The 27,154-nt window shown below is 36.5% G+C and overlaps 1 long non-coding RNA gene across 2 annotated transcripts in view; it reads left to right on the top strand.

The window, feature by feature from the left end:
• LINC02755 (long intergenic non-protein coding RNA 2755) overlaps window positions 1–27,154 on the top strand; it is a 258,473-nt gene that overhangs the window by 172,405 nt on the left and 58,914 nt on the right. The window contains exon 3 of one of the 2 annotated variants that reach the window (NR_183754.1): window positions 26,494–26,583. The exons of the other annotated variant lie outside the window; for it this stretch is intronic. This is a non-coding gene — a long non-coding RNA (long intergenic non-protein coding RNA 2755). The remainder of the gene's footprint in view (window positions 1–26,493; window positions 26,584–27,154) is intronic. 2 annotated transcript variants of the gene reach the window in all.

The raw sequence follows: 27,154 nt of genomic DNA, 5'->3' as shown, positions 1-27,154 counted from the left end.
TGTGAATTTTTTAAATACACAGCTGGAGGTAGTTGAAGCAAGTAGCTTAAAAGAAGTCATTCATCACATTTTTACAGCAAACTGAGGGCATTGTTCGTAATGTTTTCCAGAAGGAATTAAGCATATTGGTTAATCCACAAGGCAGATGAAGTGCTTATAGTTTAAAATGGCTTCTGCTATTTTTGTACCCTTTGATATTTGTAAGGAAATTACATTAGAAAACTCAAGTTTCTGAAAATACCTATAGCAAAGACACCTGCTTGATAATTTTTTTTGTTTTTTTTTCCACTACTCAATCCCTACACTTTTTTTTTAAATTATTATTATTATACTTCAAGTTTTAGGGTACATGTGCACAATGTGCAGGTTAGTTACATACGTATACATGTGCCATGCTGCTGCGCTGCACCCACTAACTCGTCATCTAGCATTAGGTATATCTCCCAATGCTATTCCTCCCCGCTCCCCCCACCCCACAACAGTCCCCAGAGTGTGATATTCCCCTTCCTGTGTCCATGTGTTCTCATTGTTCAATTCCCACCTATGAGTGAGAATATGCGGTGTTTGGTTTTTTGTTCTTGCGATAGTTTACTGAGAATGATGATTTCCAATTTCATCCACGTGCCTACAAAGGACGTGAACTCATCATTTTTTATGGCTGCATAGTACTCCATGGTGTATATGTGCCACATTTTCTTAATCCAGTCTATCATTGTTGGACATTCGGGTTGGTTCCAAGTCTTTGCTATTGTGAATAATGCCGCAATAAACATACGTGTGCATGTATCTTTATAGCAGCATGATTTATAGTCCTTTGGGTATATACCCAGTAATGGGATGGCTGGGTCAAATGGTATTTCTAGTTCTAGATCCCTGAGGAATCGCCACACTGACTTCCACAATGGTTGAACTAGTTTGCAGTCCCAGCAACAGTGTAAAATCGTTCCTATTTCTCCACATCCTCTCCAGCACCTGTTGTTTCCTGACTTTTTAATGATTGCCATTCTAACTGGTGTGAGATGATATCTCATTGTGGTTTTGATTTGCATTTCTCTGATGGCCAGTGATGGTGAGCATTTTTTCATGTGTTTTTTGGCTGCATAAATGTCTTCTTTTCAGAATTGTCTGTTCATGTCCTTCGCCCACTTTTCGATGGGGTTGTTTGTTTTTTTCTTGTAAATTTGTTTGAGTTCATTGTAGATTCTGGATATTAGCCCTTTGTCAGATGAGTAGATTGCGAAAATTTTCTCCCATTCTGTAGGTTGCCTGTTCACTCTGATGGTAGTTTCTTTTGCTGTGCAGAAGCTCTTTAGTTTAATTAGATCCCATTTGTCAATTTTGGCCTTTGTTGCCATTGCTTTTGGTGTTTTAGACATGAAGTCCTTGCCCATGCCTATGTCCTGAATGGTAATGCCTAGGTTTTCTTCTAGGGTTTTTCTGGTTTTAGGTCTAACGTTTAAGTCTTTAATCCATCTTGAATTGATTTTTGTATAAGGTGTAAGGAAGGGATCCAGTTTCAGCTTTCTACATAGGGCTAGCCAGTTTTCCCAGCACCATTTATTAGATAGGGAATCCTTTCCTCATTGCTTGTTTTTCTCAGGTTTGTCAAAGATCAGATAGTTGTAGATATGCAGCATTATTTCTGAGGGCTCTGTTCTGTTCCATTGATCTATATCTCTGTTTTGGTACGAGTACCATGCTGTTTTGGTTACTGTAGTCTTGTAGTATAGTTTGAAGTCAGGTAGTGTGATACCTCCAGCTTTGTTCTTTTGGCTTAGGATTGACTTGGCGATGCCTGCTCTCTTTTGGTTCCATATGAACTTTAAAGTAGTTTTTTCCAATTCTGTGAAGAAAGTCATTGGTAGCTTGATGGGGATGGTATTGAATCTGTAAATTACCTTGGGCAGTATGGCCATTTTCACGATATTGATTCTTCCTACCCATGAGCATGGAATGTTCTTCCATTTGTTTGTATCCTCTTTTATTTCATTGAGCAGTGGTTTGTAGTTCTCCTTGAAGAGGTCCTTCACATCCCTTGTAAGTTGGATTCCTAGGTATTTTATTCTCTTTGAAGCAATTGTGAATGGGAGTTCACTCATGATTTGGTTCTCTGTTTGTCTGTTGTTGGTGTATAAGAATGCCTGTGATTTTTGTACATTGATTTTTTATCCTGAGACTATGCTGAAGTTGCTTATCAGCTTAAGGAGATTTTGGGCTGAGACAATGGGGTTTTCTAGATATACAATCATGCCATCTGCAAACAGGGACAATTTGACTTCCTCTTTTCCTAATTGAATATCCTTTATTTCTTTCTCCTGCCTAATTGCCCTGGCCAGAACTTCCAACACTATGTTGAATAGGAGTGGTGAGAGAGGGCATCCCTGTCTTGTGCCAGTTTTCAAAGGGAATGCTTCCAGTTTTTGCCCATTCAGTATGATATTGGCTGTGGGTTTGTCATAGATACCTCTTATTATTTTGAAATACGTTCCATGAATACCTAATTTATTGAGAGTTTTTAGCATGAAGGGTTGTTGAAATTTGTCAAAGACCTTTTCTGCATCTATTGAGATAATCATGTGGTTTTTGTCGTTGGTTCTGTTTATATGCTGGATTACATTTATTGATTTTCGTATGTTGAACCAGCCTTGCATCCCAGGGATGAAGCCCACTTGATCATGGTGGATAAGCTCTTTGATGTGCTGCTGGATTCGGTTTGCCAGTATTTTATTGAGGATTTTTGCATCGATTTTCATCAGGGATATTGGTCTAAAATTCTCTTTTTTTTGTTGTGTCTCTGCCTGGCTTTGGTATCAGGATGATGCTGGCCTCATAAAATGAGTTAGGGAGGATTCCCTCTTTTTCTATTGATTGGAATAGTTTCAGAAGGAATGGTACCACTTCCTCCTTGTACCTCTGGTAGAATTCAGCTGTGAATCCATCTGATCCTGGACTCTTTTTGGTTGGTAAGCTATTGATTATTGCCACAATTTCAGAGCCTGTTATTGGTCTATTCAGAGATTCAACTTCTTCCTGGTTTAGTCTTGGGAGAGTGTATGTGTCGAGGAATTTATCCATTTCTTCTAGATTTTCTAGTTTATTTGCATAGAGGTGTTTGTAGTATTCTCTGATGGTAGTTTGTATTTCTGTGGGATCAGTGGTGATATCCCCTTTGTCATTTTTTATTGTGTCTATTTGATTCTTCTCTCTTTTTTTCTTTATTAGTCTTGCTAGCGGTGTATCAATTTTGTTGATCTTTTCAAAAGACCAGCTCCTGGATTCATTAATTTTTTGAAGGGTTTTTTGTGTCTCTATTTCTTTAAGTTCTGCTCTGATTTTAGTTATTTCTTGCCTTCTGCTAGCTTTTGAATGTGTTTGCTCTTGCTTTTCTAGTTCTTTTAGTTGTGATGTTAGGGTGTCAATTTTGGGTCTTTCCTGCTTTCCCTTTTGGGCATTTAGTGCTATAAATTTCCCTCTACACACTGCTTTGAATGCGTCCCAGAGATTCTGGTATGTTGTGTCTTTGTTCTCATTGGTTTCAAAGAACATCTGTATTTCTGCCTTCATTTCGTTATGTACCCAGTAGTCATTCAGGAGCAGGTTGTTAGGTTTCCATGTAGTTGAGCGGTTTTGAGTGAGATTCTTAATCCTGAGTTCTAGTTTGATTGCACTGTGGTCTGAGAGATAGTTTGTTATAATTTCTGTTCTTTTACATTTGCTGAGGAGAGCTTTACTTCCAACTATGTGGTCAATTTTGGAATAGGTGTGGTGTGGTGCTGTAAAAAATGTATATTCTGTTGATTTGGGGTGGAGAGTTCTGTAGATGTCTATTAGGTCCACTTGGTGCAGAGCTGAGTTCAATTCCTGGGTATCCTTGTTGACTTTCTGTCTCGTTGATCTGTCTAATGTTGACAGTGGGGTGTTAAAGTCTCCCATTATTAATGTGTGGGAGTCTAAGTCTCTTTGTAGGTCACTCATGACTTGCTTTATGAATCTGGGTGCTCCTGTATTGGGTGCATATATATTTAGGATAGTTAGCTCTTCTTGTTGAATTGATCCCTTTACCATTATGCAATGGCCTTCTTTGTCTCTTTTGATCTTTGTTGGTTTAAAGTCTGTTTTATCAGAGACTAGGATTGCAACCCCTGCCTTTTTTTGTTTTCCATTTGCTTGGTAGATCTTCCTCCATCCTTTTATTTTGAGCCTATGTGTGTCTCTGCATGTGAGATGGGTTTCCTGAATACAGCACACTGATGGGTCTTGACTCTTTATCCAATTTGCCAGTCTGTGTCTTTTAATTGGAGCATTTAGTCCATTTACATTTAAAGTTAATATTGTTATGTGTGAATTTGATCCTGTCATTATGATGTTAGCTGGTTATTTTGCTCATTAGTTGATGCAGTTTCTTCGTAGTCTCGATGGTCTTTACATTTTGGCATGATTTTGCAGCAGCTGGTACCGGTTGTGCCTTTCCATGTTTAGTGCTTCCTTCAGGAGCTCTTTTAGGGCAGGCCTGGTGGTAACAAAATCTCTCAGCATTTGCCTGTCTGTAAAGTATTTTATTTTTCCTTCACTTTTGAAGCTTAGTTTGGCTGGATATGAAATTCTGGGTTGAAAATTCTTTTCTTTAAAAATGTTGAATATTGGCCCCCACTTTCTTCTGGCTTGTAGAGTTTCTGCTGAGAGATCCGCTGTTAGTCTGATGGGCTTCCCTTTGAGGGTAACCTGACCTTTCTCTCTGGCTGCCCTTAACATTTTTTCCTTCATTTCAACTTTGGTGAATCTGACAATTATGTTTCTTGGAGTTGCTCTTCTCGAGGAGTATCTTTGTGGCGTTCTCTGTATTTCCTGAATCTGAATGTTGGCCTGCCTTGCTAGATTGGGGAAGTTCTCCTGCATAATATCCTGCAGAGTGTTTTCCAACTTGGTTCGATTCTCCCCGTCACTTTCAGGTACACCAATCAGACGTAGATTTGGTCTTTTCACATAGTCTCATATTTCTTGGAGGCTTTGCTCGTTTCTTTTTATTCTTTTTTCTCTAAACTTCCCTTCTTGCTTCATTTCATTCATTTCATCTTCCATTGCTGATACCCTTTCTTCCAGTTGATCGCATTGGCTCCTGAGGCTTCTGCATTCTTCACGTAGTTCTCAAGCCTTGGTTTTCAGCTCCATCAGCTCCTTTAAGCACTTCTCTGTGTTGGTTATTCTAGTTATACATTCTTCTAAATTTTTTTCAAAGTTTTCAACTTCTTTGCCTTTGGTTTGAATGTCCTCCCATAGCTCAGAGTAATTTGATCGTCTGAAGCCTTCTTCTCTCAGCTCGTCAAAGTCATGCTCCCTCCAGCTTTGTTCCATTGCTGGTGAGGAACTGCGTTCCTTTGGAGGAGGAGAGGCGATCTGCTTTTTAGAGTTTCCAGTTTTTCTGTTCTGTTTTTTCCCCATCTTTGTGGTTTTATCTACTTTTGGTCTTTGATGATGGTGATGTACAGATGGGTTTTTGGTGTGGATGTCCTTTCTGTTTGTTAGTTTTCCTTCTAACAGACAGGACCCTCAGCTGCAGGTCTGTTGGAGTACCCGGCTGTGTGAGGTGTCAGTCCACCCCTGCTGGGGGGTGCCTCCCAGTTAGGCTGCTCGGGGGTCAGGGGTCAGGGACCCACTTGAGGAGGCAGTCTGCCTGTTCTCAGATCTCCCGCTGCGTGCTGGGAGAACCACTGCTCTCTTCAAAGCTCAGATGGAAATGCAGAAATCACCCGTCTTCTGCGTCGCTAACGCTGGGAGCTGTAGACCGGAGCTGTTCCTATTCGGCCATCTTGGCCAATCCCCGATAATTTTTAATACTTCCTAAACTTACGTAACTCTGGCTTTTTATTTTAAGAGGAATAATGTTTGATTTTTTTTTAAGAAAAATAATTTAGGGGACTTATACTTTACTAGGATGGAGTAAAAGGGAAAAGATTACCCTTCAGAGGAATTAAATTTACTTTAAAATTAAAATTAACATTACTTTAATTCCATAATTATGAGAACATTTACTATTGGCCTCCATTGTGGAAGAGAGTGTGGCAATTCCTCAAAGATCTAGAACCAGGAATGCCATTTGACCCAGCAATCCCATTACTGGGTATATACCCAAAGGATTATAAATCATTCTACTGTAAAGACCCATACACACATATGTTTATTGCAGCATTGTTCCCAATAGCAAAGACTTGGAACCAACCCAAATGTCCATCAATGATAGACCGGATTGAGAAAATGTAGCACATATACACCATGGAATACTATGCAGCCATGAAAAAGGATGAGTTCATGTCCTTTGCAGGGACATGGATGAAGCTGGAAACCATCATTCTCAGCAAACTAACACGGGAACAGAAAACCAATTGCTCCAGGTTCTCACTCATAAGTGAGAGTTGAACAATGAGAACACATGAACACGGGGAGGGGAACATCACACACCAGGGCCTGTGGGGGAGGTTGGGGGCTAGGGGAGGGATAGCATTAGGAGAAATACCTAATGTAGATGGTAGGCTAATGGGTGCAGCAAAGCACCATGGCACGTGTATACGTATGTGTGTGTGTATATATATATATGTGTGTGTGTGTATATATATATATATATATATGATTACCCTTGCACCTGAAACACTGCAAAATTAGAAAAATACATGAAACAATGATTTTCAAGACACTATACTGGGGATGGAAGGATAGAGATTTCTGAGAAATGAGAAATTAATAAAGTGAAAGCTAAGGTTGCCACAGTTTTCTGCCTGGAGAGAATATTCAGTAATGGCATATGAATGATGAAACCAAGTGGAGTCTGGCAGATTTTCTGAATTGAGAAGCCAAAGATAACTATAACTTTAGGCAAGAATTTGCAGAGAAGACTGCGAGAGAGAACAGAACTAGGCATACAGAGATGTTTTTCCAGAGAATTCTAGACATCATTCTCAGCTGTTTGGTATGGTTCAATTTATGTATGTATGTGAGAAGACTGAGTCTGAGAAAAAAACACATTTTAAAGGATTGGAGTACAGCATGCATCACTTAATGATGAGGATACATTCTGAAAAATGCATTTTTGGAAGATTTTGTCATTGTGCAAACATAATAGAGTATACCTACACAAACCTAGATTGTATATGTACTTTTATTCTTGAAATTTTTCATATGCAAAGCCAAATGCCCCAGAACCATTCCAGAATATCAATCATTATCCATTCCAAATGCCCCAGAACCATTCCAGAATATCAATCATTATCCATTCTTGTCCTGCAATGCCACTATCAAGTGCCATATATAATCAATGAAAACAATCAAATAATCAAAATAAACCAGAATGAACACAGATGTTAAAAAGAGTAGATAAGGACATGAAAATAATTTTTATAACAATATTTATCATATTAAAAAGCTAATGTAGTAACATGAGAGTTATTACAAAAAACTAAATTGAACTTTAAAAGATAAATCTACAGTATCTGAGGTGAATAATATACTGATTGAGAATTATACCCATTAAACATTGTGCAATAAAAAGATTAGTGAAGTGAAGGCACAACAAGAGGAACCATTTTAAATGCAACACATAGAGAAAAAGAAGAGAAAAACAAAATAAAGAGAGCACCAGTGAGTTTTAGGACAATTTCAAGTGGCGTAGTATGAGTACAATTGGAGTTCCAGAAGTGAGGGGTCCAGGACTGAAAAACTATTTGATAAAATAATGTCTGAAAAAATTCCAGATTAAATATAAAGTAAAACTCCACAGATCCATGAAGTTCAATTTACCCCAAGCACGCAAAATAGGAAGCTACATAAATGCACACCACTGTCAAACTGCTCCAAAAAAATGATAAGAAAACATATGTAAAAGCATCCAGAATAAAAATAGGCCTATATACAGAGATTTATACAGAGATTTTTTAAAAAATGAAGAAGGCAAGCAATTTCTTACTGGAAACAAATGTAAGATAAAACAACACTTACAAGTACTGAAAGAATAAAATTGCCCTAAAATTAGAATTAAAATTCCATATCCAGGTTGGGCGTGGTGGCTCACACCTGTAATCCCAGCACTTTGGGAGGCTGAGTAGGTGGATCACAAGGTCAGGAGTTCAAGATCAGCCATCTCCACTAAAAATACAAAAATTAGCTGGGTGTGGAGGCAAGCACCTGTAATCCCAGCTACTCGGCAGGCTGAGGCAGGAGAATCGCTTGAACCCAGGGGGCAGAGGTTGCAGTGAGTTGAGATGGTGCCTCTCCACTCCAGCCTGGGTGACAGAATGAGACTGTGTCTCAATAATTAAAAAAAAAAAATCCATACCCAATGAAAATGAAAGTACCTTTTAATAACCATGAAAAAATAAAGGCTTCACATAAATAAAACCTGAAAGATTTTATCACTAGCAGACCTGTACTACAATAACTCCTTTAAGCACAGAACTAAAATTATAGGAGATGGAAACATGGATGTATATAAAAGAAGAGCTCCAAAAATGGTAATGGCATGGATAAATATATAACTGTTTCTATTTAAATGTCTTCCAAAATAATTTACCATTTACATAAAAATAATAACTTATTGTGTACCTTATGGCATATATAAAAGTAAAGTATATGGCAGCAAGATTACAAAAGCTGAGGGAAGATACTGCAAGGTTGTTATACTATATATGAAATACTACAAAGTTACTTGAAGGCGTATAATTATAAGTTAAATATGTGTTCAATAAACCCTAAGTCAGTTGCTAAATTAAAACAAAAATTATAAATAATAAGTAAAATGCTTAAAATAGAATCATAAATAGACTGATTTTATCAACAAAAGGCAAAAGGGAGGGGGTAGAAAGAGCGATAAACAAATCACACAAATAGAAACTAATAACAAGATGATAGATGGAAATCTTAAAAATTACATTAAATGTAAATGAAATGTAAAACAATCTAACGAAAAGATAGAAGTAAAAAACAATGCCAGCAACTTTACTAATAACGTAACACTTAGAAACAACCAAGATGTCTTTCAGTAGGTGAAAGGATAAAGCAAGCTGTAGTAAATCCACAATGAAATATTACTCTGTGAATAAATCAATAAGCTATCCATCCATGAAAAGACATGAAGGAATCTTAAATCATACTGCTAAATGAAAGGATCTAAACTGAAATGGCTACACATTGAATGATTCTAAGTATATGACATTCTGGAAAAGACAAACTATAGAAAAAGTGAAAATATCAGTGGTTACCAGAAGTTGGGGAGAACAAAAGAGGGATGAATAGGTAGAGCACAGAGGATTGTTAGGGTGGTGAAACTATTGCTCTGTATGGTTGTGAAAGGAAAATAAACCTAGGGACCCCAAACTCATTGAGCCACAGGAAAAAGTTAAGCTGGAAACTGGGTCATGCAAACCTTCCTCCCCTTTTGGCTCCTAGATAAGATGGCTAAAATATGAAAAGCTACACGCTTCCCCCATATTTTGCCCACAAGGAAATTCCTAGTGAGCTCCAAGATCTTTAAGGCGTATCTGTTAAAATTTCACCATGGCAATGCACATTCATAGCTTATCTTTACAGGTGCAGTCACCTCCCCTGCCCACCAGACATAAACGATATCTAATTGGTCCCCTGCCCCATTTTGTCTATGTTATCTTATGTAAAAATGCAGATTATCTACATTTTTTCTCTGCCCCATTTGTCTATGTCATCTTATGTAACAAATGCAGATACACTGAGCCAGATGAAGGCATAAATGACTGTTTTTTCCCTAACCTCTCTTACATGAAAATTGTGTACTTCTCAATGCTCCACCTTTTCCCCTTTAAATTTGGAGCCCTCAAAATCATCTTCCAAGAAAGGCATAGTCCTGTCTCCCTGGTGTGCATCCTTAACTTGGCAAATAAACCTCCTAAAATGATTGAGACTTGTCTTGCCATTTTTCTCAGTTGACATGGTAGATACATGTCATTATACATTTGTCAAAACCTATAGAATATACAACACCAAGAGTGAATCCTAATGTAAACTATGAAGTTCAGTCAATAATAATGTATATAGTTTCATCATCGATTGGAACTAAGGTACCACACTAATGTAAGATATTAAAAATAGAGGAAATTGTGGGAGGTGAGGGCATATATGAAAACTCTGTGCTTTTCACTCATTTTTTTTTCGGTGAACCTAAAACTATTCAAAACAATAAAGGTTATTAACTTTTTAGACATTCCAAACTATAGGGTGCTTATAAGAATTATACTTTAAATCTTTGGGAGCCGAGGCGGGTGGATCACGAGGTCAGGAGATCAAGACCACTGTGGCCAACATGGTGAAACGCCGTCTCTACTAAAATACAAAAAATTAGCCAGGCATGGTGGCATGCGCCTGTAATCCCAGCTACTTGGGAGGCTGAGGCAGGGGAATTGCTTGAACACGGGAGGCGGAAGTTGCAGTGAGACGAGATTGCACCTCCTGCACTCCAGCCTGGCGACAGAGCAAGACTCTGTCTCAAAAAACAAACAAACAAAAAAAACAAAAACAAACAACAACAAAAACAACAAAATTTACTTTTAACCTATTCATAGCTTTAGATTTAAAGTATAAGTATGAAAAATAATATGCTATGCTGACATACACGCACGCACACACACACACACACACACAAAACTAGGATGGCTATAGGAACAACACACTTAGTGGATTTCAGATCCAAGAATATTACCAGGGATGAGGAGGTGAATTTCATTAAGATAAAGAGTTCTATTTATCAAGAAGAGATAACCATTTTAAATGTTTAAATGCCTAATGCCAGAGTTTCAAAATATATGAAGCAAAAATTCATAAATAAACAAAGAGAAATAGACAAATCACAATTATAGTTGGAGACGTCAATATCTCTCTGAAAAATTGATAGAACAAGTACACAGGAAATCATTAAAGATAAAGAAGACTTGGAAAACACAATCAACCAACTTGGCCTAATGTGTATTTACAGAACACTCCACACAAAATTAGGAAAATGCATTTCATTTTTGAGTGCTTTGCTTTTAGAACATTTATCATGCCAGACTATATTTGGTACAATAAAACAAATTTCAATAAACTTGAAAGGACTTAAGTCTTACAGAATTTAATCTCTGATACCATGGAATTAAATTAGAAATTAATAACAAAAATATCTCTATATAAAAATTTTTAAATCTTTGGTAACTAAATAGAACACTTCTAAATAATCCATATGTCAAAGAAGGAATCAAAAAGAGGTTAGAAAATAATTTTAACTTGATCAAAAAACTTACTTAGTATTTCAAAATTTGTTACATAACACTAAAGCAGTCCTTAATGGGGCGTTTATACTATAAAAATATCAGAAAAAAAGATACATCAGAGAAGCAGGAATATCTCAAACAACTTCAACTTCCACCTTCAGAAACTACAAAAAGAAGAAAAGTATATAGCCACAGTAAACAGAAGAAGGATAATAAGAAAGATCAGATAGGAAAGCAAGGAAGATGTTTCATTTGAAAAAATAAGGAATATTAGTAAACATATGTCTAGACTGAGAAAACCAACATGACATCAATTTCACTATAAGGAATCAGAGAGATGCTGCTGCTACCGATTATAAAGCTATCAAAGGGATAAGCAACAGATATCTCACCAAAAGGGAGCTACAGGTGGCAAAGTAAAGTACATAAAAAATGCTCATCATTGTTAGCCATTTGATATGTGCAAATTAAAATTGCAATGAATGAACTATCACTACACTTCTATTAGAACAGCTAATATTAAATATTATAGAGACAATACCAGATGCTAGCAAGTATGCAGAGAAACTGGATGTCTCACACATTGTTGGTAGAAGTGTAAAGTAGCAGAGTCACTTTGGCAAATAGTTTGTCAGTTTCTGAAAAATAAAAACAAACGAAACCCCAAAACTACACATTCATTTACCATACTACCTAGATATTACATCTGATAATTTAAAAAAAAGATTATATAAAAATTACCCACAAATGTTCAAAACAGCGTTATTTGTAATAGAAAAATATTGGAAATAGTGCAGATGTCTTTCAGAGGGTGAATGGTTGAACAAACTCTAATATACCCATAACGACAGAATATTATTTAGCAATACAGAGAAATAAACTATTAACAAATGCATTATGTTAAGTAAAAAAGTCAATCTAAAAGTGCTATGTGCTTTGTAATTTCACTTATGTAATGTTCTCAAAATGACGAAATTATAGAGATGGTAAGCAGATTATTGGTTGTCAGGGGACTGGGACAGGATGGATGGGGTAGGGAGTATGGATAAAGAGGTAGAACAAAGGAGTTCTTTGGCAGTGATGGAATAATCTATCTTGATTGTGGTAAAGGTTACAGAAATCTATACACAGGGTAAAATTGAATAGAACTACACATACACACACATGCAAATAAATTCAAGTTAAATGGTAAAAACCAAATAAGGTCTAGTTGAAATAATTTTCTGGTTTTGACATTGAATGATAGCTGCAGAAGTTGTTGCCACTGGGGAAAGCTGGGTAAAGTGTACACAGGACTATAGTTTTGCAACTCCCTATAGTAGTCTGTATTTATTTCAAATAATAAGGTTTTTAAAGATAATACAGGAATAGTATCGATAACTTCAAGGCAATACATTTGACGACTGAAATGAATAAGGTAAATTCCTTGAAAGACACTATCAAAGCTCACTCAGAAGAGATAGATGACCTAAATCATCTTGGAAAATATCACTCAAGAAATTGATTTTTTGGTTAAAATCTGTACTGTGGCCAATTGGAATTTATGTTAAGAGCACAAGGTTAGTGTAGCAATCAAATTTAATGAATATAATTCACCATATTAACAAATTAAATAAGAAAAAATGTATTCTTATTATCAGTGGTGCATAAAAAGTATTAACAAAATCCAACATCTATTCCTTTTGAAAATTCTCAGCAAAGTAGCCATAGAAAAAAATTTCCTCAACCTGATAGAGGGCATCTATAAAAAACCTACAGCTAATCTTATACCCAATATTGAGAGACTAAATTCTTTCTCCCTAAGATTGCAAACAAGACAAAATTTTCTCTCGCCACTTCTATTCACATTGTATTGGATGTTCTAGTCAGTGAAATAAGGCAAACTAAGAAATGGAAAAATAAAAAAAATTCACACTACAGAAAAAATATTTTATTTGCATAATTGTCTATGCAGAAAATCTGATGAAACCTACAATAAAATCACTAAAACTAACATAAGTTTAGCAAGATTGCAAGATGTAAGATTTTTTTAAAAAACTATTATATTTGTAGCAATAAACATTTGAAATGAAAATTATAAAAACAATACCAGTTACAATAGTACCAAAAATATTAAATACTTAGGGATAAATATGACAAAAGATATGTAACACCTGTAGATGGGCCACTCAAAAACCTTGCTGAAAGAAAAAGACCTAAAAATGTATATATTTGTTATGTTTATGAATTGGAAGACTCAGTATTAAGATCAGTCTGTACTTTCAGTGTATCTCCAAGCAAAATCATGGCAAGCCATTTTTGTAGAAGTTAAAAAACTATTTCTAAAATTCATATGGAAAATCAAAGGACCTAGAATAGCCAAGTCAAGCTTGAAAAGGAACAATAACTTTGGGAGCCTAGCCCTATTCTGTGCCAAAACTTAAAGCTACAGCCAGAAACACAGTATGCATTTAGTATAACAAATTTGTATAAAAGTAAATCAGCATAGCGGAATCTAGAAAATATTTGTATAAAGATATATTTTAGAATCACATTCCCCCAGATATTGCTTTTACTTTTTTTTCACTGCTTTAATAAGGCATAACTGAACTTGAAAAAGTCTACATATTTAAGGTAGACAATTTGATAAGTGTTACATAGGCACATAACTGGGAAACTACCGCCTTTCTCTATCTTCTATCTATCTATCTATCTATCTATCTATCTGATATCTACTTACCTTTAGGTAAGTGGAATTAAAACCACAATGTAGTATTACTAAAATGGCTAAAATTAAAAGAAAAAGATAACCAAACCAAGTGTTTGTGGAATGTGAAGAAAACGGAACTCTCATATATTCCTGGGGAGGAATATAAATGGCACAAAACTTTGTAAAAGAGTTTGATCATTTCAAGAAGTTCAACATATACCTATCTTATGATGTGGAGTTCCACCTCTAGAAATTTATCAAGAAAAAATAAATAGAATAAAAGATTATGTTCAAACAAAACATTGTACACAAATGTTCATAGCAGCCTTATTTTTAATATTCCCAAATAAAAATACCTCAAAAGTCCTTCAAAATATGAATCAATTTCTTAAGATGTGGTTTATCTGTATAATGGGATACTCCTCAGCAATAAAAAGTAATAAACTATGGACTCATGCTACAACATTGGTGCATCTCAAAATAATTATGCTGAGCAAAAGAAACTAGAGCAATGAATCAAAGCAACTACTATATGATTCCATTTACTTAAAAATCTAGAAAATTAAAACTAATTTCTAGTGATGGAAATTAGATCAATTGGTGCCTGAAGAGAGGAAGAGGTAGGGAGGATTGGGAATGAGATATCACAAAGAGGCAAAAATAGATTTTGGATGGTGCTGGATACATTCATTATCTTGATTATCGTGATAGTTGCCTAGGTAAATACTTATGTCAAAACTTACAAAGTTGTTCACTTTAAATATATGCTGTGTGTTGTATTCTATGTTTTGTATAGTATACCTCAAATAAAGCTGTAAAAGTAACAAATTTATTTGGAGAAATGTGATTCTAGAGAGATTTCTGAACTAGTGCTGTGTGTTTCACTGCAACAGGCTTCCTAGATCACTCACTGCCCCCTTTTTTTAGGGGGCAAGTTGTATAGGTTCAGTGATACATCATGGAAGCAAACTGGAGGGAGTCCCCTAGGACTCAGGGAGGTATCAGACTGCTCCTCTTTCTCTCTCTGACTCAATCCTGCTGGGTGCCATAATTCTTTCTCATCTCTGCTGTGCAGCTGCTTCCATCTTGTCTCTCTAAGGATTGACTTTTAGGCAGGAGTCTTAGATCTTACTCCCATAACATCAACCTCCTCTTGGTCCTTGGTTTCTACGACACCATTAGCATTCACAATGCTTTACAATCGTACATTTTCCACATCCAGCAGCAACTGACTGACTGCAGTCCTCTTGCTTTGTTTGGGTTCTCAAGAGATAAAAACCTATTAGTCTCTGGTCAGGCAGTTCCATAGGCTCTTAATCCAGTGCCCATTTGGGTTGGTGTAGAGTCATTTGGATCACAGTCTCTTTTACAGGGACTCAAAAAGCAGAATTTCTGCACAGATGAGGTTGACATGTAAAGCTAAGTCACTGGAGTAACTTCTACAGAGGAGTTGGACCATGATAGTTGATTAAATTTTTCCAGTTCTGGGAATTGTGATGCAACACGTTATTAGATACTCTATGTTTTTAAAGCATCCAAATTATAATAATTAGAAACACAAATTAAAGGAGCTTAAATCGTTAATCGTGACCTCCTGGTGTGCACAATTGTATCTGGTAACTGGTAAATGGAGTTTTCAGCAATAAATAAGCAGATGTCAAGAGAAACCCAATCAGGGCCTTTGCTGTCCTCCCTCTTCCCCATAGGACTGCTGTGTGCCATTGTGAGAGCAGGGTCCATTCATGTCTTATTCACTGAGGGAAATGGTAATGGACTTGGCAAATGCTGCTTCTCCCATCACCATCAAACTACAGTGACCTTGTGCCAGTGCACCCTTTCTTTTTATAATGAATGTTTTATTATAAATGCAAACGTATCAATTTTCGAAATTAAAACAATATAGGAAAGTAAATTGTATTAAGATATAAAGTGTTTCCATATTGCCATCCCACAGAGCAGCTTCGATTGATCTTTTGAGCATATTTCTTTCCAGTCATCTTCTATGTGTGTTTAACATTTTTGACCATAATGTAACGTTTGCATCTCTTTTGTTTTGTAGCTTTCTATTATGTCTTAACTATGTTGCCACTTTCCCTCTACCCAGTTTCAACTAGATTTGCAGAAAAGCAAAGAATTCTAACATATAGAGTATTCAGTAATTTACAAAGAATGAAGCATTGAAGGTGGGGAGAAGGGCCTTCTGAATTATATTGAATTTTCCATGCTTTATTGGGAAAAGTATTTTTGGCAGTATTGGGAAATGGATTCAAATCCCATATTTGGAACTTACTATTTAATTTCTTTTTGGTCCCATATTCTCAGCTACAGACTGGACATAATAATGGAATCTATGTTATAGAGGTCTTCTGATGATTTAGTGCTATGAAGCATAGTCTGGCTTCTGAACTCTTTTTTTTTTCTCCTAGTCACACAGATTATCTCTCCCAGTATGCCCTGCAGTAATCAAATGGTCATGTGACAGATTAGTGCAGAATGTGAGCAGAAGAGATGTATATTGGTTCCAGGACTGATTCATAGAAACTTCCCACATGACAACTTCATTCTCTCCTGATGAGCACAGTGACCTGGGAAGCTGTAGACTGAAGACAGCAGAGTTGGAAAATGGAAAGACATTTTATCCCTAAATGACCTCTTGGTAGAGAACAATCTTTTGATCAGAAATGCATTTTCTAGACTTTACGTTAGCAACATAAACTTCTATTTCATTAATCCACGGAGATTTTGGAGGCATATCTGTTATATCTGTCAGCGTTTACTTTAACTAGTATATACTTCCCTTATGGTTCTTGCAGTGAGTCCTCACCATGTTGCTATTAATTTCCTCTCTAGGCACATTATAGTATGGCTTTCTGACACTCTTGCTGAATGTGGAAGCTCCCCAAACAAGACTACCTGGAAAAAGAACACTTTGTAGTCAGAGATTACTGAAATCTTTAAAATATCTCTCTGTGGTCTTTAAACATATCATTCTCTCTGAATTTCTAAATACTGTGAGAGAAAACTGCTACCTTCAAGAGACCAGTCTGTGCTCAAATGACAGTGCCGCTTTGTAGTTTCCAGAAGCCACAACCTAGCAGGTCCAATCTTCCTAGTTGAGTGCTGAATTTTGAGAATTTTTCAACAAGGAAGGGTATGAGAGAATACTCTATCCAATAATTTTCATGCTGCTATTAGGGCCAGAGTCTTTTCCTAATTAAATGTATATCATAAAATAGGTAACAATCCTATCTCTTATCCTCCAGGGTGACCTGTGAAGTACTACCACAGAACACATTCTGAAAACTTAGGGCAACCACTTAAGTCCACTAACAGTAAGGTTAGAAGATATAGTTGCATATACTACTTAATGGCCAAGTAATTACTAGAATTTAGGCCTCTAGCTTCCTACTCCAGTGCTCTTGTATTTTGACTGTCCTTTGGGGCCTTTCTTTTCTGGGTCCACCTCTTCTTCCTTTCATTCACTTCTTATGTTTTTTCTTTCTTTATGTATAACTGAGAGTGCCAAGTAGTAAAAGAATTGGCCCATAAAAGTCATATTCAACAGTATTCAACAGTATTCACTAGAGAATGGGAGTTTATGAGATGTCCAATGGCTCCAAATGAAAACCAACCAACCTACCAACAACATTTTGACATTTGAAGCCCATAAGATGAGACACAGAAAAATAGGAATCATAACCCTTTCTGCAAAGGCTCTGTTCTATATCATCTTTTTATTCTTGAGTGCTCTTAAAAAGAACTATTGTCATTTGTTTATTCAAGAGACTAGACTATATTTAGCCATTTAATTCCTGCTATTTCTCTTTATTTCTATGAGTTCTCTAAAGCCACTGTCTCTATAGTTAGCACCTCTTTCTGCTTAGCATGTTAAAATCAATAAATGTTGTTAATTGACTAACAGGTTGACCAGTAACAATAAAAAAAAAAGGAAATAAGTAGCTGTAGGCAGGCATTTCAAAGACAAGTAATTTAGTCTCCATTTCACAAGCTGCTCACAGGCAGACATCCAAAGAAAAAATGACTTCGAATATATAGACCAGAAAAGTCTCAGGTTACTAGTTTTATGAACAAGTTTATATACACATCACATACATTCACATCTCTCACAATGATTCAAATGTAAAATCACAAAAACACAAAAATACTCAAATTCAACAGCTTTATGTCCACGAATCTTATACATCCATGCCTCCCTCATATACAATCACATACATTTTACCATTTGATTGGGGAGCAAGTATGAGAAACCAGCACATTTTTTGATTTTGGTTTCATATTTTTGTTTACAACTCTCCCATTTCCCTTTCCTGTCCCCATTGTGTAGCACTAAATATAATTAGGGTACAGAGAGCATAAAGAAATTTCCAACATGGAGAAAATACTAATTTTGGGATCAGGGCAGAAATACAAGGACCTCTTTAAATTAAGTGAAGAAAAAAATATATATTTAATTATATAAAATATATAATTATATTAGAAAATATATATTTACATATAATTTTATATAATTTAAAAATATACATTCATATATAATTTTATAACATAAATTATATGTTTTTATGTATGTATATAAATAAATTACTTGTCTTTGAAAGGTCTGCCTACGGCTACTTATTTCCTGTTTTTTCTATATATGTATTTTCAATATATATTAAATATATTTCTTTCATTTGATTTAAATATATGTGTGTGTGTGTGTGTGTGTGTGTGTATATATATATATATATATATATATATATATTTCCTTCACTTGCTTTAAAGAGGTCATTGTATTTCTTCCCTGATTGTCCCGATCCCAACATTTGTATTTTTGCCTTGTTGAAAATCTCTTCATGCTGTGTGTGTGTGTGTGTGTCTAAAACCTCAGGGAGGCTTCCTCAGTCACTGATTTCTGATCAAAACAGATTCTCTTCCAGAAGATTTTGCATATGCATTTAGAATCTCCCAAAGGAGCAAAATGATGCTGGTAAAATCCTTTCAACTCACTCCTTTTGTGAAATATGTTCTTTCGGAAAAAATAATTGAAAATGTAAACATAACTCTGAAGTTTACTTAAGAGAGAAACTGGTTTATAAGGCATCAAAGGACTAATTATATGCAAATGTTGCTGCTAATTACTGATGAGCCTCATCCACTCCATTAAACATCTCTCTAGGAGTATAAGAAGCACTATGTGAGCATTTGTAACTTCTAAGTTTAAAAATAATAAAATTACAATCCTTTGAAACCGTCTGAGTTAAAATATTGCACTTCAAATGCATCCTCTCCACATAGGTCAATAAGAATGGGTTAATCAATCATGGTTGAAGGAGTTAGAGAAGTATTGCATATCAGTATGGAAAGTAAATCAGATTTAAAAGCACTATTTAATATAAAGCACCAAGTTTTACACAATCTGCTTCCTGTCTGTACTACAAGCCTTACATCAGCCATTTGTAACTTTACTTACTGCTTTTCAACCAAGCAAGCTCCCTCTTCTGCCTATCCAATGCATCATTTTCATTTCATGCTCAGGGTATTTATGCAAATAATACCCTTTGCTTGAAATGGTCTTCCTCTCCTTTACCAAGTTAATGGTAATCATCCTTCAGATGTCAATTCAAACATCTCTTTCAAACAGAAGACACACATTATCCCAGAGTAGTCAAGTCCTGCAGATTAACTTGCACTATGTCTGGAAGGTCCTTAGTACTCCCATACTCCAACTATTCTTAATAAATTACATTACTATATTTTACATTCTCACCAGAAATGAATGAGTTCTATTTTCTCCACATCCTCACTAGACTTGTTGTTATCTGACTTTCTGATTCTAGCTGCCTGATAGTTGTGAGGTGATAAGGTGATATTTCATTGTGGCTTTGATCATTGTCCTGATGACTAGTCACATAGAGTACCTCTTCATGTGTTTATTAGTCATTTGTATATCTCCTTTGGAAAAATAACCATTCAGATCCTTTGCCCATTTAAAAAATTGAGTTGTCTTTTTATTATTGAGTTTGAAGAAGTCCTTATCTATTCTAGATACATGTTCCTTAGGTATAGGATGTGCAAATATTTTCTCTGAATTTTCACTTTCTTGATAGTGTCCTTTTAAACACAAGTGTTTTAATTTTATTGAAGTAAAAATTATCTATTTTTCTTTTATTCTTCACGCTTTTTGGTCCAAACACCCTTGTCAAAAATCAGTTGTTCATACATATATATGAGCTTATTTCTGCACTCTCAATTCTTATTCTTATTTATTTTTATTCTTTTTTTATTATACTTTAAGTTTTAGGGTACATGTGTACAACGTGCAGTTTTGTTACATATGTATATATGTGCCATGTTGGTGTGCTGCACCCATTAACTCGTCATTTAACATTAGGTATATCTCCTAATGCTATCCCTCCACCCTACCCCCATCCCACAACAGGCCCTGGTGTGTGATGTTCCCCTTCCTGTGTCCATGTGTTCTCATTGTTCAATTCCCACCTATGAGTGAGAACATGCGGTGTTTGTTTTTTTGTCCTTGCGATACTTTGCTGAGAATGATGGTTTCCAGCTTCATCCATGTCCCTACAAGGGACATGAACTCATCATTTTTTATGGCTGCATAGTATTCCATGGTGTATATGTGCCACATTTTCTTAATCCAGTCTATCATTGTTGGACATTTGGCTTGGTTCCAAGTCTTTGCTATTGTGAATAGTACCTCAATAAACATACGTGTGCATGTGTCTTTATAGCAGCATGATTTATAATCCTTTGGGTACATACCCAGTAATGGGATGGCTAGATCAAATGGTATTTCTAGTTCTAGATCCCTGAGGAATCGCCACACTGACTTCCACAATGGTTGAACTAGTTTACAGTCCCATCAACAGTGTAAAAGTGTTCCTATTTCTCCACATCTTCTCCAGCACTTGTTGTTTCCTGACTTTTAAATGATCGCCATACTAACTGGTGTGAGATGGTATCTCATTGTGGTTTTGATTTGCATTTCTCTGATGGCCAGTGATGATGAACATTTTTTCATGTGTCTTTTGGCTGCATAAATGTCTTCTTTTGAGAAGTATCTGTTCATATCCTTTGCCCACTTTATGATGGGGTTGTTTTTTTCTTGTAAATTTGTTTGAGTTCATTGTAGATTCTGGATATTAGCCCTTTGTCAGATGAGTAGATTGCAAAAATTTTCTCCCATTCTGTAGGTTGCCTTTTCACTCTGATGGTAGTTTCTTTTGCTGTGCAGAAGCTCTTTAGTTTGATTAGATCTCATTTGTCAATTTTGGCTTCTGTTGCCAGTGCTTTTGATGTTTTAGACATGAAGTCCTTGCCAATGCCTATGTCCTGAATGGTATTTCCTAGGTTTTCTTCTAGGGTTTTTATGGTTTTAGGTCTAACATTTAAGTCTTTAATCCATCTTGAATTAATTTTTGTATAAGATGTAAGGAAGGGATCCAGTTTCAGCTTTCTACATAGGGCTAGCCAGTTTTCCCAGCACCATTTATTAAATAGGGAATCCTTTCCCCATTGCTTGTTTTTGTCAGGTTTGTCAAAGATCAGATAGTTGTAGATAAGTGGCATTATTTCTGATGCTCTGGTTTGTTCCATTGGTTTATATCTCTGTTATGGTACCAGTACCATGCTGTTTTGATTACTGTAGCCTTGTAGTATAGTTTGAAGTCAGGTAGCATGATGCCTCCAGCTTTGTTCTTTTGGCTTAGGATTGACTTGGCAATGCGGGCTCTTTTTTTGGTTCCATATGAACTTTAAAGTAGTTTTTTCCAATTCTGTGAAGAAAGTCATTGGTAGCTTGATGGGGATGGCATTGAATCTATAAATTACCTTGGGCAGTATAGCCATTTTCACGATATTGATTCTTCCTACCCATGAGCATGGAATGTTCTTCCATTTTTTTGTATCCTCTTTTATTTCATTGAGCAGTGGTTTGTAGTTCTCCTTGAAGAGGTCCTTCACATCCCTTGTATGTTGGATTCCTAGGTATTTTATTCTCTTTGAAGCAATTGTGAATGGGAGTTCACTCATGATTTGGCTCTCTGTTTGTCTGTTATTGGTGTATAAGAATGCCTGTGATTTTTGCATATTGATTTTGTATCCTGAGACTTTGCTGAAGTTGCCTATCAGCTTAAGGAGATTTTAGGCTGAGACAATGGGTTTTCTAGATACACAATCATGTCATCTGCAAACAGGGACAATTTGACTTCCTCTTTTCCTAATTGAATACACTTTATTTCCTTAGCCTGCCTGATGGTCCTGGCCAGCACTTCCAACACTATGTTGAATAGGAGTGGTGAGAGAGGGCATCCCTGTCTTGTGCCAGTTTTCAAAGGGAATGCTTCCAGTTTTTGCCCATTCAGTATGATATTGGCTGTGGGTTTGTCATAGATAGCTCTTATTATTTTGAGATATGTCCCATCAATACCTAATTTATTGAGAGCTTTTAGCATGAAGGGTGTTGAATTTTGTCAAAGGCCGTTTCTGCATCTATTGAGATAATCATGTGGTTTTTGTCGTTGGTTCTGTTTATATGATGGATTACATTTATTGATTTGCATATATTGAACCAGCCTTGCATCCCAGGGATGAAGCCCACTTGATCATGGTGGATAAGCTTTTTGATGTGCTGCTGGATTCGGTTTGCCAGTATTTTATTGAAGATTTTTGCATGGATGTTCATCAGGGGTATTGGTCTAAAATTCTCTTTTTTTGTTGTGTCTCTGCCAGGCTTTGGTATCAGGAAGATGCTGGCCTCATAAAATGAGTTAGGGAGGATCCCCTTTTTTTCTGTTGATTGGAATACTTTCAGAAGGAATGGTACCACCTCCTCCTTGTACCTCTGGTAGAATTCGGTTGTGAATCCATCTGGTCCTTGACATTTTTTCGTTGGTAAGCTATTACTTATTGCCTCAATTTCAGACCCTGTTATTGGTCTATTCAGAGATTCAACTTCTTCCTGGTTTAGTCTTGGGAGGGCGTATGTGTCGAGGAATTTATCCATTTCTTCCAGATTTTCTAGTTTATTTGCGTAGAGGTGTTTATAGTATTCTCTGATGGTATTTTGTATTTCTGTGGGATCGGAGGTGATATCCCCTTTATCATTTTTTATTGCGTCTATTTGATTCTTCTCTCTTTTCCTCTTTATTAGTCTTGCTAGTGGTCTGTCAATTTTGTTGATCTTTTCAAAAAACCAGCTCCTGGATTCATTGATTTTTTGAAGGGTTTTTTGTATCTCTATTTCCTTCACTTCTGCTCTGATCTTAGTTATTTCTTGGCTTCTGCTAGCTTTTGAATGTGTTTGCTCTTGCTTCTCTAGTTCTTTTAACTGGGATGTTAGGGTTTCAATTTTAGATCTTTCCTGCTTTCTCTTGTGGGCATTTAGTGCTATAAATTTCCCTCTACACACTTCTTTGAATGTGTCTCAGAGATTCTGGTATGTTGACCTTTTCTATGTTTAGATTTGTTTTGATAAACACATACCACTATATTAAAATTACCTACAATATTCAGCACTGTACAGGTTTGTAGCCTAGGAGCAATAGGCTATACCATATAATCTAGCTGTGTGGTAGGCTATACCATATGATCTAGGTATGTATTAAGCTAAACCATATAGCCTCATTGTGCAATCATTTATACCATATAAACTAGGTGTGTAGTAGGCTATATGAAATAAACTAGCTGTGTAGTAAGCTAAACCTAGGTGTATAGTATGTTTTACTATATAATCTAGGCATATAGTAGGCTTAACCATATAGCTTAGGTATGTAATAGGATAAACCATATAGCCTAGGTGTGTGGTAGGCGACTATAACATAGATGTGTAGAAGGCTATACAATATAGCCTTGGTGTATAGTAGTCTATGCTATATAATGTAGGTATATAGTAAGCTAAGCCATATAGCCTAGTAGGCTATACCATATAACCTAGGTGTGTATTAAGCTATACCATGTAGCCTAGGTGTGTAGTAAAATAAACTGTATACCCTAGGTGTGTCATAGGCTACACCATATAGCCTAGGTGTGTAATAAGCTTATCTATATAGCCTAGGTATGTAGTAGGATAAACCATGTATCCTGGGTGTATAGTAGGCTACACCATATAACCTAGGTGGGTAATAAGCTAAATCATATAGCCTATGTGTGTAGTAGGATAAACCATATAGCCTAGGTGTATAGTAGGCCACACCTTATAATCTAGGTGTGTAATAAGCTAAACCATATAGCTTATGTGTGTAGTAGGATAAGCCATATAGCCTAGGTGTGTAATGGGTTATACCATATGATCTAGGTGTATAATAAGCTAAACCATGTAGTCTAGGTGTTTAATAGTCTAAACCATATAGCCTAGGTGTGTGGTAAGCTAAACCATATAATCTAGGTATATAATAGACTATCCCATGCAGCCTAGGTGAGGAGTAGGCTAAACTATATAGCCTAGGTGTGTAGTAGTCTACACCACATAATCTAGGTATACAGTAAGCTAAACCATATAGTCTAGGTGTGTAGTAGGTTAAAGCATATAGCCTAGATGTGTAGTTGTTTATACCATATAACCTAACTGTGTAGTAGGCTATACTATATAGGATTGTGTAAGTACACTCTATATTTACACAATGAAAAAATCACCTAATGACACATTTCTCAGAATCTATCTTCAATGTTAAGTGATGCGTGACTGTATTGAGTTATTGCTACTGGCTAGGCATTCGTCTGAGCCCTTAGGATACACTAGTGAATCAAAAAGACTAAGATTTCTTTTATTATTGGACTCTCATTTTAGGGGGAGTTGGGGAAACAGGAAATAAATAATAAACAAAACAAGTAACATATATAGGATATTCGATGGTAATAAATGCTCTTAAAGGAGATGGTACCAAGTCAGTGGGCTTATAAATAGGAATGTTTATGGAGAGCATGACATGTGGGCAAAGACTAAGAAATTGGCCATATGGAAATCTGTGGCAACGGGAGAGGGAACACTCCATGTGAAAGTCTGGCCTGTTAAGTAATAGTAGGAGGTAGGCTACAATGGCAGAACTGTAAGATGTGAGCTTGGAGAAGAGGCTCAGGGAGATTCTACCCCAAACTATGTTTGTCATCATAAAGTTCTTGGCTTGTAATGTGAGAGAAATTGAAATTGGTTTCTGAAGTGCAGTGGAGTGAAATAAGTTGATTTACATTTAATGTTGGCACTGACTACTAAAGGATTTCTTTAGAAAGTCTTCAGATTACATGGGTTCATATTTTATTTTATTTTATGTTTATAGTAACAGAAAAAAAATCAATCCCAGCCAACTAACTCTGAAACAAAAGGAGGTGTATAATTTTTAATAACAGAGATCTTTTTTGCAAAAGCACCATGACATTTATCATAAAAGTGGTCTCAGTTTGTTATCTCTTTGGAAGACAGCCAGGGTCTATCCTAAACCCACCACCTCTCCCCACTGTTGTACATGGATTCGGTTTCTTTTCCCAGGTGTTGATTCAAGACAGGGATTTAAGAGAGAGCTTCTGCAACAATGAGATTGCCAAAAAACTCTAATCCATGACCCACACTGCCAACCCCTGCCCTCTTTCTGTTTGGGTAAGGGTTGTAATTTCTCCAAAACTAAGAGATTGTTACCCAAATATATCCCTGACCACTTACTCACTGCTGAAGCCATAGATGTGACAGAGTTTTTCCTAAAGCTACCAGAAATCAAGTTGGAATTTTTACTTTTAGTTAAGATGGAGAAGATAAGGATTTCATTACCTCCCAAACAACTAGAATTTCTTACTAAAGCATAAATACATACTTTTTCCTCAAAGGCATTTGATAATTGTGGACATGAAGGAGTCTAAGAAATCTTAACTCTTGAGAGGTAAGTGCTCCATGGGTGATAACAGAAGATGCATTCACAAACAGGGCCAATTGCTGAGGCTGGGAACAGATCAGGTGGAGGATTGAGCTTGTCAGGGAATTCTTTGCTCAGAAGTAAATCTCTCAAAATGTTGACAAGCCTGCAAGCTGGTGTTTCAAATTTGAATCTAAAGAAGACTCAAATGCAAAGGCAATTCTCCATAATGAGGAATTCCTTTACAGTGAAACTTTGCTGAGTAAGCAGAGACTGAAAGCATAGCTGGAAAGCAGAAAGAGATCTGCAGTCTCGGTCTCCCAATTTCAATGTCTGATAATGTCAGTCCCACGGCCTTGCAGTCTTGTGGTCTCCCAGTCTCATGGTGATACCACACTCCTGCATTCTTACGGGCTGCTCTTTTGCAGTTTCACAGGCTTGAGTTCTCATTTTCTCTGAATCTTGTGGTTTTGTGCTCTTAAAATTTTATGGACTTGCAGACCTGGTATCTCTTAGTCTCAGTCTAGCAAGTTCAAGATCTAGGAAACTTGCACTCCACAAAAAAGATGCTTTAAGTCACCTTCAAACATCCAAAGCCAGAGGTGAAGCGAGACTACCTGAAACTGCAACAATATCCCTAGTTAATGCAATTTCTGCTAAGAACAAAGATATCTGTCCTTAGGTGGTCTCAAAAATTTGGAGTGAAGCCAGAGGTGAAGTGAGACTTTCTGAAGCTGCAACAATACCTCTACTCTACTTAAAGCAATTTCTGGTAAGAATAAAGATATCTGTCCCTTGATGATCTCAAAACTTTGAAGCTATTGCTTACTGGTGATTAAATACCAAGGTCCTAAAAGAGTGATTAAAGATATTACGTCCCTAATAACCTCAAAATCTACTGCTTAACTTTTATTATTTTTTAATGTAAAATGACCACAATAAACTTTAAAAATTATCAGATGCATGATGATATGGGATTACTATGACATGAGAAGCTGAATGCCCCTGTAGTACCCTCCCCTCCCTTCCTTCTTTCCATGAGGTTGACAGAGGAAGCATGGCATGCATTCTTGAGGGGAGCAAATACCTCCTGCACAGAAGCTTGCAGGAGGAAATGCCCAGCTCCATGGAAGGAGTGAGGAAAGAGGGTTCAGCATAGAGGGAGGCCAAAGCCCGTCACCCCCATCTCTGCAGCCCAAGAGTGAGTCCCACTAGTCCCACCTACCCTGGGCTACCCTATACCCAGCCACAGCCAACCAGGCTTTAAGTCCAGGAGCCTGAGCCCAGGAGCAGGCCACCTCTGGGTTCCCTTGGAAAAGAGAAAGGAGAGGAGAGGGTGAAGC

This window comes from Homo sapiens, chromosome 11 (genome assembly GCF_000001405.40).
Source record: "Homo sapiens chromosome 11, GRCh38.p14 Primary Assembly".
NCBI lineage: Eukaryota > Metazoa > Chordata > Mammalia > Primates > Hominidae > Homo > Homo sapiens.
The sequence above is the reverse complement of the archived record's forward strand: the minus strand, read 5'-3'. Positions and strand labels throughout refer to the sequence as shown.